This window comes from Homo sapiens, chromosome 5, assembly GCF_000001405.40.
Source record: "Homo sapiens chromosome 5, GRCh38.p14 Primary Assembly".
NCBI classification, from domain to species: domain Eukaryota; kingdom Metazoa; phylum Chordata; class Mammalia; order Primates; family Hominidae; genus Homo; species Homo sapiens.
The window spans coordinates 73,224,296-73,237,818 of record NC_000005.10 but is presented as its reverse complement, the minus strand read 5'-3'; the positions used below and the strand labels follow the sequence as shown (position 1 = coordinate 73,237,818).

Here is a 13,523-nt window from a genome sequence, read left to right as displayed (position 1 = left end):
CCTTGAGCCCAGGATTTTGAGGCCTCGCCACTACTGCCAGCCTGGGTGACAGAGCAAGACCTGGTCTCCAAAAAAAAAAAAAAATTGTGGATTGAAATGGAATGAGTTTAGCATAACTGATACCAAAACCAGACAACAGCATGAGAAAAGGAAGTATAAGTGAGTTCTGTTTATCAGCCTCAAAAATATATTTGTATTATTTAAGTTATGTTTTTATTCACAAATTATATATATATATATATATATATGGTACAATGTGATGTTTCTATACATGTATACATTGTGGAATAATCAAATCAGGCTAATTAACATACCCATTACCACAGATATTTATCATTTATTTATGTGAGAACACTTAAAATCCTCTCTTTTTGAAATTTTGAAGTATATATAACTATTAGCTATATTTGCCATACTAGGCAGTAGATTTCCAGAACTTATGCCTCCTGTCTCACTGCAACTTTGTACCTTTAACCGATGTTTCTCCTTTCCCCATCTTCCCCTCTCCCCTGCTCCCAGCCTCTGGGAACTATCATTCTACTCTGTACTTCTATGAATTCGATGTTTTAGATTCCACTTATAAGTGAGATTATATTATTTGTCTCTCTGTGTCTGGCTTATTGCACTTAGCATAATGTCCTCTAGGTTTATCCATGTTGTTGAAAATTACAGAATTTCCTGTTTTTAAGAAGTTGAATAGTATTCCATTGTGTATATATACCACTTTTTTAAACCCATTTGTCCATTGACGAGCACTTCAGTTGTTTCCATATTTTTGTTTGTTTGCTTGAGAAGGGTCTGGTTCTCTTGCCCAGGCTGCAGTGCAGTGGTGTGATCTCGGCTCACTGCCACCTCTGCCTCCTGGCCTCAAGGGTTCCTCTCACCTCAGCCTCCCGAGTAGCTGGGACTACAGGTATGCGCCATCATGCCCGGCTAATTTTTGTGGGGTTTTTTTGTAGAGACAGGGTTTCATCATGTTGCCCAAGCAACCTGCCTGCCTCTGCCTCCCTAAGTGCTGGGATTACAGGCATGAGCCACTATGCCCAGCTGTTCCTGTATCTTGACTATTGTGAATAATGTTGCAATGAACATGTGCAGACATGTCTTCAACATACTGAGTTTAATTCCTTTGTATTATATACTCAGAGTGGGGATTGCTGGATGGTATAGTAATCCTGTTTTTTATTTTTTGATGAACCTCCATACTGTTTTCCAAAGTGGCTGTACTAGTTTACAATACCACCAATGCTGTACAGGTTCCATATTTCTCCACACCCTCACTAAGACTTGTTATCGTTGATCTTTTTGATAATAGCAATCTAACAGTTGTGAGGTGATATCTCATTGTGGTTTTCGTTTGCATTTTTCTGATCATTAGAGACGTTGAGCATTTTAAAAATATATATGTTGGCCATTTGTATGTCTTCTTTTGAAAAATGTCTATTTAGGTCCTCTGCCCATTTTTTGATAGGGTGATTTGTTTTCTTCTTCTGGGTAGTTTGATTTCCTTATATATTTTGGATATTAGCCCCTTATCTGATGTATGATTTGCAAATATTTTCTCCCAATCTGTGAGTTGTCTCTTCATTCTGTTGTTTCCCTTGCTGTGCAGAAGTTTTCTAGTTTGTTGCAGTCCCATTTGTCTATTTTTTCTTTCATTGGCTATGAGACTCAAAAATTTAAATAAGATATTACCAACGAAATAGATTAAGATCACAAAAACCATCTGTATCTTGGAGAGATAATACAAGCTTACAAAGACAAAGCTACATATTAGACAGTTACTGGGAGACACCGGGCCAAGGATTCCATGGATATGTAAAACAAAAAGTCATAATTGAACTTTGCTTCCCACAGGGCCCATCATATCTCATTAACTATGAAAGAAGCAGAAAATAAATCAAGGAACCACTTTATCCTTCAGGAAGCCAGGAAACAAAATAGGGTACCAACTTGGCATCAAATTTTGTTATAACTTGAGCAGGTTCACAGGGCAAGCATGCTGGGCCTTAGAGTGGCAGGAGTGGGAAGGAAAAGGTAAACAGAAAGTGGGGTGAGAAGCTCCTAGCCTAGAAGCTTGGTGCAGTGCAGGATTCTAGTGACCCTGGGCAGCAGGTTGTGTGCCCTGGGGTCCAATCCTGTACAGGGTGTGGGTATTGAGTTAGGCAGTCAGCTCTCCTAATAACCAATCTATTCCTAGCAGGGACCCAACCACTGGCCAAGGTAAAAAGAACAGGATAGGCCAGGTGCAGTGGCTCATGCCTGTAATCCCAGCACTTTGGGAGGCCGAGGTGGGCAGATCACGAGGTCAAGAGATTGAGACCATCCTGGCCAACATGGTGAAACCCCATCTCTACCAAAAATAGAAAAATTAGCCAGACGTGGTGGCCCAAGCCTGTAATCCCAGCTACTCGGGAGGCTGAGGCAGGAGAATCACTTGAACCCGGGAGGCAGAGGTTGCAGTGAGCCAAGATCGTGCCACTGCACTCCAGCCTGGCAACAGAGTGAGAGTGAGACTCCATCTCAAAAAAAAAAAGAAAAAAAAAAAAAAAAAGAACAGGATACTGTTCCACCTCTGTGCCACTTCCAGGGATTGGCAGGAATCAAGCAGGGTGTCAGACCAGCCAAATGGGGGTAGAGGGCAGGGTTCCAATCCCAGGGATGGGGAGAGGTGAAGAGGGGATCAAGGTCTGGATAGCCAGGAAGTCTAGCTGTGGAAATTGACCAGTTTAGTGTGGTATATGTGATATATATTGGGCGAGGGGTGGGGTGGGGGGTGGGGAAGATGACAAGCACAACATTGTTACCAGTTTCACATATCTGGCACTTAAAATATCTTGTTTTATTTCAAGGGGAGGTGTTTACCTAGCCCCTGTAAGGCTTTGTAAACCCTTGTCCAAATTTTGCATTTCCCACTGCACCCAAGCAGGGCCCAGCACAGTACCCAATAATCCTTTGCAGTTTATAATTGAACCCAGTTCCCTGAATAAAGACTTTCCACAGTGCAGAATCTACATCCCCACGGTCCTCCCAACTCTTTCTGTCATTCCGCGGGGGTGGGGGTGGAAGGCAGATCTCCCCCAGGGCAGAACCGTGCGATTCACCGGACATCTGAACTCTGCCCACAATACTTTTTAACCCGATGGTTACCCCTCTGACTCCGATGACCTTTCGGGGGTGGGGGAGGCAGGAAAGCCACCCTTCCTTTCTCCTCGTTATCCCACCCTGTCACCTCCGTTTTCTGCAAAACACATGTACGTTTGAAAAAAACGTCTTTCATCTGGGACATGTTTTCTTTACCAGAGCAAGTGTGTGTGAAGGGGCGGGGAGGGGCGGGGAAGGGAAGGGGTACCAAAGTGCCCAGCAGCAGGAGCACCTACAAAAACAATCCTTCCCGGGCGAGGCACCGGGGGAAAATCGTACCAAGGAAGGTGACTCGCCACTCCCGGAGGCTGGGCCGCTCGCCTTGGGCAGTCCTGGGCGGTGATGGGGGAGGAGGGATGAAGGGAAAAAGATGGAGGTGGGGGAAGGGCAAGAGGCGGGGGAGGGGGTGGTCCCGAGCAATTCAATGGCGCTTTGATTTAACAACTCCAAGCCCTTTGAAAACATTTTGCCAAGAAAAGCTTGCCATCAACACGTATAATCTCTTATCAGAGGCCCCTGAAAGCCCGGGCCCCGGGGTTAATTCCCCCATCGCAATGAGTTTGAATCAGCTCTAAACCCGCAGTGACATGAAAGCGCCCGAGCCTCGGGCCGCACAGAGCCCACTGAGATCCGCCGACCAGGGAGGATTACGGGGCCTGTTCCGCGGCGGGCTCGCCGGCGGGACGGGCAGGCTCAAAAGAAAAAGAATAATTAGGGATAATTGCTTGTGTCCAAACACAAGCATTAAGGCCCCCTGTTCCCCTTTGGGACTTTGTGAGCCAGAATGAAAGAGACACCCCCTGTTTTGACAGCTGGACCAGCGGCCTGGATCGGTGACCGAGGGAGGAAGCTTTCCCGGCTGCTGGGAACGCGGCCGAGCAGGGCTGCGGGTGGGCAGGGGACCGGCCCGGCCCAGCGCGGGCGGGGTCCACGCGTGGGTCACCGCTTCGGCGACAGCCCTCCCTGCGCTCGGGAGCGTGCGGGTGGCGTCCCCGCCCCTCGCCTGAGGCCTGCGGAAGCCCGCGGAAGCCCAGGAGCCTGGTGCGGGCTTTGGGCAACAGAGGGCAGCGTCCTGCGCACACGCCTCTCGAAGACCCAAGGGGAAGCGCGGACCTGGCGCCCCCTGCGAGCCGCTGGGACGTCTGGGGCCGCAAAGCCCTGGCCGTGACACCCCTCGAAGTTCCACACCCCGCCGCGTGTGATCTCTTCAGCCCCACCAACACTCACAAGCGGGAATATCTGATCCCACCTCGTTCGGCGTGGGGCGGCCTGAGCCACATTTGGAGACACCCGAGTCCCAGGGTGGTCCCAGCCACATCCGCCCTTGAAGCTGAGGCGCGAGTAGGAGGCCTCCCTTAGTGACTGGGGAGTGACGGGAGAATTAAACGCAACGAGGGCAACGGCTTAATGCACACCCTCTGGATCAGGTCTTGCCCACTGCCCCGCAATCCTGAGAGTGGCTTGATGTTGGGGTTTGGGGCCAGGGCTTTCCGGAAAGGAGCCTGCACAGGCCAAGGCCTCCAACCTCCGGGGGCCCAACTGCCTGGGAGCTTGGCTATTTGCCCTGTGTCATGCGAACTCCAGGAAGTCACAGTGCCTGAGGTGGCCAAGATATTCTTTGAGAGATCCTTGATAGGGGTGCAAAAGTTGGCTGGTGTCAGCGGGATGCCAGCGCCTAAGCGGGGATGGGGAGGAGGGCAGAGAAGGGAGGAAACCTGAAGGAAATATGCACTTCGAGACCACCCTGAACACCTGGACCACCCAGGCTGAGGCCTGGAACTGCTGAGCCTCGAGGCCAGCATGGCCAACAGGCCAGACAGTTCGGAAAGGGCAGTGAATCTTCCAGAAGGCCTATCTGGGAGGATATCGCTCTGTCTCTGGGCGGCGGCCCGAAGCCCAGCGGCAGGCAGAACCACCTCCGCGGCAACCCCAGATGCTCCACCAGCTCTCCTGCCTCCAAATAGAGATCACATGCGGGGCTGGAGGAAGAGTGGGGAAGCGGCGCGGTGGACACGCGGGCATGAGTGATTAATTAAAGGGAAACCACATCCGACAAGAAAAGAGTTTTCTGAAAGGAGCCGAGTCCAAGAAGAGCTCCCGACCCTGCAGCTGCAGCCCAGACGGATCCGCCAGCTGCCAGGCCCTCCCCACGCAGCACAGGATGCTCACTGAGGCCTCCTGGCCTGCGGAGGGGACCCGGCTTTCGAAACCCGAGTGTTTTAAATAAAGCCCAAAGTTAAGAGTTTTCCAGTTCGGCCCGGGGCTGGGCAGGGAGGTGGCTGGGATGATCACTGGTCTCCTAAGGGCGGCCGCAGCCACCTGGGCTCTCCTGACTGCAGCACGCGATTGTTAGAGAAAGTGCTCGCCTCGGCGGTCTCCTAAACTCTCCCGGGTTTCTGAGTCTATACAGCAGGAATCCAGGTTAGTAAGTAAAGTAAAGCCAGCTTGAGTTCACCAGACGTGACTGTGATGGAGAGGAAGATTTGAGATCGAAAGTTTCAGACTTAGGCAAAACTCAAACATGCCCATGTTTTTCTCTCCTTCCTGCCACCCCCATGATTTTGGGGAAAACCGATGACAGCAACATTGCCACCAAATAGAGAAAGAATGCTATTTAGTGAACATCTATTTATTTTCATTTGACTTCTGATGACCAGTGTTGTTAAAATACTCTCAGCCTGTCAAAGATTAACATACAAAATAGAGTGTATAATTGTAGGTGGATTTTTTGTTTGTTTGGGGTTTGTTTTGTTTTTTAAATTGTAAACTCCTACTAGTTTTCTTCACCAGAGAATAGTTGGGAATATTCTAAATGAGGAAAGGTATTGTGTTTCTCTGCTGTATAAGGATGACCTATTCCACCTCCCTCCTTTGAGTATAAAATTCAAGAAATCATAAAATGTGGATTTTTGAAGTAGTGAACTGTTTCTTTGTGCAGAAATGGGTGATGGTATCTGAATATGTGTCCTGCATCACACTTCTCAAATTAGGTCTGAGGTTTAGAGGTAATCAATGCTTTATTTATTTGTCCTAGAAGACAGGAGGTGGGAAGGAGAATATTCTGATGACAGCAAGAGAGACCTTCCTGCTCCTTTCCCATGATTCTGCAATCCTCCCTCTTCTCTCTCCAGCTGCTTAATCAGCCTGCCCTAAAGAGAGGGCTTTGGTTTGGGGTTTTGGTTTTGTTTTGTTTTTGAGATTTAGTACTGCATATATTTCAGCACGCTACATGGAGTTCAACAACACGTAAAAGCCATGAAATTTGACATTCGTTTCAGAGCCTTGGCTAAGAGATGAAATTATTATACCAAGAAAAAAATGATACTTAGGAAAGTGAGAACTTCCATCGAATCCATACCTCACCAGCATTATGACATTTTTGCTTAAGCTGCTGTGTGGGCCTGTTTCCTTGATGGGCTCAAAATAGGCGAGACAAACCAAAAAAGGAGGTGTGAAAATGACGCAAGAAGTCTGATTCCGTGCCCCGCAAAAGTCAGTTTGGCTCCCGAAGTTACTCCATGGTTACGCCTGCAGGCCGCACCCCAAACAGACTGGTAACCCCAGAGTACATTGCAGGAGTCCTGCACCTGCGGCAAGGCCGGCGTTTGGCGGACGCCGAAGTTGCAGGCCTGAGATTAGACAATTGAGAAGGGGGCTGGGGCGGGGGCAACCCTTTAAAACTGAGAACCCACAATTCGGAATCCAGGATTACTAGCGCCCCTCGCAGGGCTTCGGAAGGGGCAGTGCAAGCGAGGAACCCAGAAACTCAGGCTCCGTGAGTTTCAGGGCACATTTGTTTGGGGGTTTTAAAATACGTCTCTTTTGCCCCACATGTCCCTGCTAGCGCAGCCCCCTAACTGCTCTGGCCGACCGTGGACGCCAGCTAGTTCTAGAGGCGTGGAGTCTGGAAGCAGCGCTTGGGTAAGGAGAAGCACTCGGAGAATATCCTCGAGGAGTTTAGGGCTTTTTGAGAAGCTCCCCCTCAAAGGTCTGATGGGGAGTCCCGGGCGTGAGCCCCTCCAGCTGGGAGGCCTGGAGCCGCGGAGGGTCCTCCTCCCTCTCCAGCCTCCGCGCTCCAGCCCCGCGGCCCGGAGCATTGGGCCCACCTAGCCCCAGGACTACGTGGCCGGCCCAGCGCTGTAATTGCTCTGTTCCTTCACGAGGCCCAGAGAGAGGGGCGCAACTCCCTGATCGTCAGATCGCCCTTCCCCGCCAGCAAAGCGACCGCGGGCCTGTTCCCGCCTCTACCCCTGAGGCGCTGGGCGCAGCGGTCCTGCTTTCCCAGACCAGGGCGCGCGTCTCTGGGTTCATGCCTCAGAGGTGGCCCCGGGGTTGGGGAAGAGGGCAGTAAATAGAATCTGATCGGCCTTGGGAATCCCCCTGTCCCGCCTACCCAGGCTTGGCAAACAGGCCGCGCAAACCCTCCTGAGAACCGGACAGTCTGGGGCGAGGGCTAGCAGTAGCCTGTCCAAACCAAAGAGAATGAGTTCGAGTTTTAAAGCAAATCTCAGGCTTCACTGTTTAGCTTGATGGACTCAGCTTCTCCTTTTAGGGAGCAAATTAAAGTTCAGATGGAAAAAGCTAAAAGATGTTGCCCACCCTCGGGTCTCCCTCTTTGTCCAAAGATATGCACATCCCCCTCACCTCCCCTTCCATCTTTCACAACTGCCTGAACTACTACAGCAATGAAACATGTGTTTTGTGGAAAATGTTACAATAAGTGACAATGAAAGCTATAATAAAAAAGAAGTAAAGATCTTTATACCAGTGTTGCTGTGCACAATGTGTGTATGCATATACATGTCTCTATGCATGTGTATCTATTTATATGTTTATAGATAGATATTTGTTGGTTTGCTTGAGTGTATACTGTAGGTTTAAATTTGCATTCTAAAACTGCAAAAATACAGTTTTATGTCACAACCACAAATGCCAAGCTTGGTCACACATGATCTTTTAAAGGCCAACTAAAATGCTATTTTCTTTTCATTTTTATTTAGAACCTCCAAAACAGGAGCAAGCTTTACTTTTAAAATGAAACCACTCTACATGTGAAAGATGACATGCATAAATGGTATTTACAATGGAATGTTTAAAATTCATTTCTTTCTGTAATGTAACCTGACTTCTGAGCAAAGGGATTTCGCTTCTTGGTGGGGCCTCTAGGCAGAGCCAGTTCTTGGCACCAATAGCATTGCCTGATGCTGTAAAACACTAAATCTGGACAGATTTACACAGAACAGAAGCTTTCATTTCACCCTTCAAATTCCAGCCAAACAGGATTGGGGACTTTTCTATGTTCCAGACTCCCTGAATGTTTTTCCAGGTTGTGTGGTTGAGTTCCAGCCTACAGCAGCTCAACCAGAATCACCACATTATTAGGCACAGAAATGAGATCTATGTCCTCATATTTTTTATTGTGTCCACATTGTGAAACAAAGGCATTTTAAAGATGCAGCTACTGGGACATTAATGAGACAATGCATGTCTATGTGATGAAATAGCAATTTGGAGATGGGTTTTACATGTCAGAAAGAAATATTGTTTTATTTGTAGTCCTTTACTTGCAACTGTCTTCACAGTTGTTTATTTTTTCTAAATAATATTTTTATGAAGACAAAAATTAATCAAGAAGCCATTCAAGATCATTTTTCCAGACACCACATGAATGAAGCTAACTTCTTTCCATTAGGACAGGCATAGATTTTCCTCTAACTTTAAAATAAATGACTGCTATTTACACTGGTAGAGAGACCACTCCGAAAGCTGTTTTCCTCTACTGTTAATGAAAAGTATACTATATTTCCCCCAAATGAAACTTAGAATTATTTAACTGGACTGCCAGGTGTATCACTATTAATAGTGTTTAAGTACATTTTGGGAGAGGTGGAAGGGCTCCTCTGCTACACCCTAGATGTACTCGATACATAGAGTTATACTCTCAAGATGCTTATAACTTACCACAAATACAATTCAGGACATACGTTGTGAGACAAAAAGCAAAGGCATTTGCATGATCAGAGTTAGGACAGAGAATGGACTAAAAACATATCTCCTTGGTGCTAAATTCATTCATAGCTGGTAAGATAATTAAGGACATTTTTTTCCACATAAATTTAGTCACATATGTTTGAAGCTTTGTGCAACTGTGGCATGTACCGATACTTCTGCAGAAACCCCTCTAAAGCACCCAAGGAGCCTGAAATATTAAGGTAGCCCCCACATCTCCCTTCTTTTACAGGACATGCTTGTGAAGAATAGCGGAAAATACAACGTACTGAGTTAGACAAATATTTAACTTGTTCCACGTCCAAGGTAAATCAGATTTCAGGCCAACATATGGGCTCCAGTTCAGGGCCCGAGGCCCAGGCCTCAGGTTAGGCCTGGGAGTAAATGATGTGTATGGTCATTGTCAGAGACTCTGGCTGGGCCAGGCAGACTTGGGTCACCCACCTTCCCACGGACCATGGAGGGACTGAGCTTTGCCTTACGCAAGAACCCATCACAGTGTAGAGCTCTCTGAGGTAGGCCCTGCATGGCTGGTCTAGAATCCGAAGTTAACCTCTTACTTGTCTGAGTTCCTTTAGGGCAGGCACTATTATTTATTAGCTTGAGGTTCCTTACATTCAGCACTATGTCTGGTACATGGTAAGCACTTGATATGTCTGATAAATCACATCAATCATTTAGGTTGCTGGTGAAGAAGACCACTTAGTTAGGGTCTTTGGATCTTCAGATGGCTTCAGACCATCTAGATGTGTTCTGTACTACAGTGGCCTCTAGCCACAGGTGGCAATTGATGCTTGAAATGTATCTAGTCCAAATTGATGCAGGCCGTAAGTGTAAAATACATTCTGGACTTTGTAGGTTGTCTTAGTAAGTCTAGGCTGCTATAACAAATTACCACAGACTGGGTTGCTTCAGCAACATTGATTTCTCACAGTTCTGGAAGCTGAAAGTTCAAGATTAGGGTGCCAGAATGGTTGGGTTCTTGTTGAGGACCCTCTTCCTGTTTACATCCCCACATGGCCTTTCCCTGGTGCTTGCAAGAGGGGTGGTGTGGGGGTGGGCTCAAGGAGGGAGAGATATATCATGTCTCTTCCTTTTCTTGTAAGGGCATTAATCCTATTATGGGAACTCCATCCTTCTGACTTCATCTAAACCTAGTTACCATCCAAAGGTTTCACTTTCTAATATCATGACATTGGGGATTAGGGCTTCAACATAGTAATTTTGGGGGCAGTGCAAGCATTCAGTCCACAGCAAGGAGATTATAAAATCGGAATGCAAAAGTCTCATTAATAATTTTATATTAGTTATATATTGAATGATACTTTGGGTATATTGGGTTAGATAAAATATGTTTGTGGAAGCCAACAAAAAATAAACAATGGGGGAAAGGACACACTATTCAATAAATAATGGCTGGGAGTATGCTGAAGAATGAAACTGGACCCCTATCTCTCACCATATACAAAAATTAACTGAAGATAAATTAGAGACTTAAATGTAAGACATCAAACTATAAAAATCCTATTAAAAACCTGGAAAAACTCTTCTGGACATTGGCTTAGGCAAATATTTTATTGGTAAGACCTCAAAAGCAAATGCAACAGAAACAAAAATAGACAAATGGGACTAAATTAAACTAAACAGCTTCTGCACAGCAAAAGAATCAATCAACAGACAACCTATAGAATGGGAGAATGTATTTCCAAATTATGCATCTAACAAAGGATGAATATCTAGAATCTATAAGGAACTAAAATGAATCAACAAGAAAAAAATAACCCTATTACAAAATAAGCAAAGGACATGAAAAGACACTTTTCAAAAGAAGACATACAAGCAGCCAGCAAACATATGAAAAAATACTCAACATCATTAATCATCAGAGAAATACAAATTAAAACCACAGTGAAATACCACCTCATATCAGTCAGAATGACTATTATTAAAAAATCAAAAACTAACAGATGTTGGCTGGCAAGGCTGCAGAGAAAAGTGAACACTTATACACTGTTGGTGGGCATGTAAATCAATAAAACCTCTATGGAAAATAGTGTGGAGACTTCTCAAAGAACTAAAAGTAGAGCTACCATTCAACCCAGCAATCTTATTACTGTGTATCTACCCAAAGGAAAAGAAATTGTTATACGAAAGTGACACCTGCACTTGTATGTTATTGCAGCATTATTCACGAGAGCAAAGTCATGGAATCAACCTAAGTGTCTACCAACAGTTGACCGGATAAAGAAAATGTGGTACTTAAACACCACAGAATACCATGCAGCCATAAAAAACAATGAAATCATGTTCTTCACAGCAACATGGAGGGAGTTGGAGACAATTATCCTAAGTGAAACAACTCAGAATCAGAAAATCAAATACCACATGTTCTCATTCATAAGTGGAAGTTAAGCAATGAGTATGCATGGATCTAAAAATGGAAGTAATAGACACTGGGGACTCTAAAGGTGTGGGGGGATGAAGGCTGAAGAACTACCTATTGGGTAGTTTACTATTTTGGTGATGGTTCACTAGAAGCCAAAACACTTCAGCATTATGCAATATACCCATGTAACAAGCTTGCACATGTATCACCTCTGTCTAAAATTTTGTTAAATGTATATAAATAGACATTAATGTATGTACACACATATTTGTGGTAGGTAGCCTCTAAGATGGCCCCTGCTGAGCTCAGCCTCCCAGTAGTCATGCCCATATGTAATTCCCTCCCCTAGGCTCTAGGCTAGGCTTAGTATTTCAATACTAACAAATGACTATGACAGAAGTGATGGGCTGCAGCTTCCAAGCTGAGATTACAAAAAGACTGCGGCTTCTATCTTGGGTGCTCCCTCTCTCACTCATTAGCTTGCGCCACCTCTATCTCTCTTTCTATCTCAAAGCCATCGTGCATTGCTGACCCAACACAATGGTAAAATATTAAATGTGTGTTTTAAGCTACAATTTTGGGACAATTTGTTATGCACAATAAATAATAAATTCACTATTACAAAAATTAATTTCACCAGTTTCTTTACACTTTTTAAGATATGGCTACTGGAACATTTTGATTACATGTGTGGCTCCCATTATATTTCTACTGGACAGCACTGGTCTGTCTCTGTGACTCAGATGGGACAACACTGATCCAGATTTAATTTGGGATTCTAAGGAGCTGGACTCAAATGTATGTTATTTAAAAACATGAAATATTTAGGTATAAATCTAACAAAATATGTTCTAATCTATAATCCCTTGGCTAAACCAATTTCTGATATTTACATATTAAACAGTTGTGGACTGAGAGTCAAGAGTTATCCTAGTCCCAGGGTAGCCCATAGTCAGCTAAAAATTTTACCCAGAGAGGCAACTTTTAAGCGTCCCTTGCAGTGTTAACATTTTGTGATCCAACAACTGCTTACTTCAGCATTCACTTGAAACCAAGGAGTAACAGCAGAATTGGTAATAGCTGGTTTGGTGTTTTCTTTTAATAATGAACCCAATGTTAGTAGCTCCACTTCTCTAAAATAGTCTTTTAGCAAAGAGTGGTGAGAAGGTCATGGGGAGGAGGAAACCATCTAAGACTAAGGAGCATTCTCCAGCACACCCCAAACGGCTCCCTAAATCTTCTGCAGCTCTCCACAGACCTTCCTGGAAGTTCTTGCATCTCTGTTCGTTACCACTCCTGACATCTCAGAACTCCAGAAAACTGTGTTTTCATTTAAGAGTGTTTGTAGCTAAATTTGAAGTTGGGAAGAAATGAAAGACTTAGCTCTCTATTTATTTGTATTTGCAGAACCACAGAAAGCCAAGGTGATCATTAGAAAAATATTTTAGAATGCTATCTTTTCTATCAGATTGTATTTTTCTAGTACAGTGACAAATTCTCTTAAGTTTTCAATAGCTAAACATATCAGTTTCCATTGTTGACCAGAAAGCTGATTTGAGTCTCCAGTGCTCGGTATTTATAGGTAATCATGGACTAGGACTGTGTTACAAGAATGAACATTTGTCTTGTGTGGGTTTTTTTTTTTTTTTTTTTTGCATTTAAGTAAGAAATTCTCTTCCTTACATATCTTAAATGCATTTTATTTTGACAACATGATTGCAGATACAATACATGGCACTTCAAAGAGGGATGACTTTTCTAGTATGTTTTGACCAAAAGTGGATCGTCTACTCAAAGACTATCATTGACAGTTTCAATCACTTAAAAATGACCACTGAAAAATGTTGCTGAAGACATTCCAGCTTTGGACATACTGGGTGATTTAGTGAGGGGCAGACATTAACACAGGCCATCATTCCATAACTGTTAGTGGATTGCGGCTGCTCTGAAATTTTGCGTAAAAAAGTGAGACATGTTGTTAATG

The 13,523-nt window shown here is 44.9% G+C and overlaps 1 long non-coding RNA gene across 1 annotated transcript in view, besides 2 other annotated features; it reads right to left on the bottom strand.

The window, feature by feature from the left end:
• Positions 1–13,523, bottom strand: part of LOC124901002 (uncharacterized) — a 76,128-nt gene that overhangs the window by 52,245 nt on the left and 10,360 nt on the right. The window lies entirely within an intron of this gene.
• Positions 3,983–4,931: an enhancer, noted in NCBI's record as "H3K4me1 hESC enhancer chr5:72528715-72529663 (GRCh37/hg19 assembly coordinates)". NCBI's record gives its function as "activates a minimal SCP1, AML or CMV promoter by ChIP-STARR-seq in primed H9 embryonic stem cells {active_cell/tissue: H9 hESC(primed)}" and the evidence as "EXISTENCE:reporter gene assay evidence [ECO:0000049][PMID:30033119]".
• Positions 7,188–7,813: an enhancer, noted in NCBI's record as "H3K4me1 hESC enhancer chr5:72525833-72526458 (GRCh37/hg19 assembly coordinates)". NCBI's record gives its function as "activates a minimal SCP1, AML or CMV promoter by ChIP-STARR-seq in naive H9 embryonic stem cells {active_cell/tissue: H9 hESC(naive)}" and the evidence as "EXISTENCE:reporter gene assay evidence [ECO:0000049][PMID:30033119]".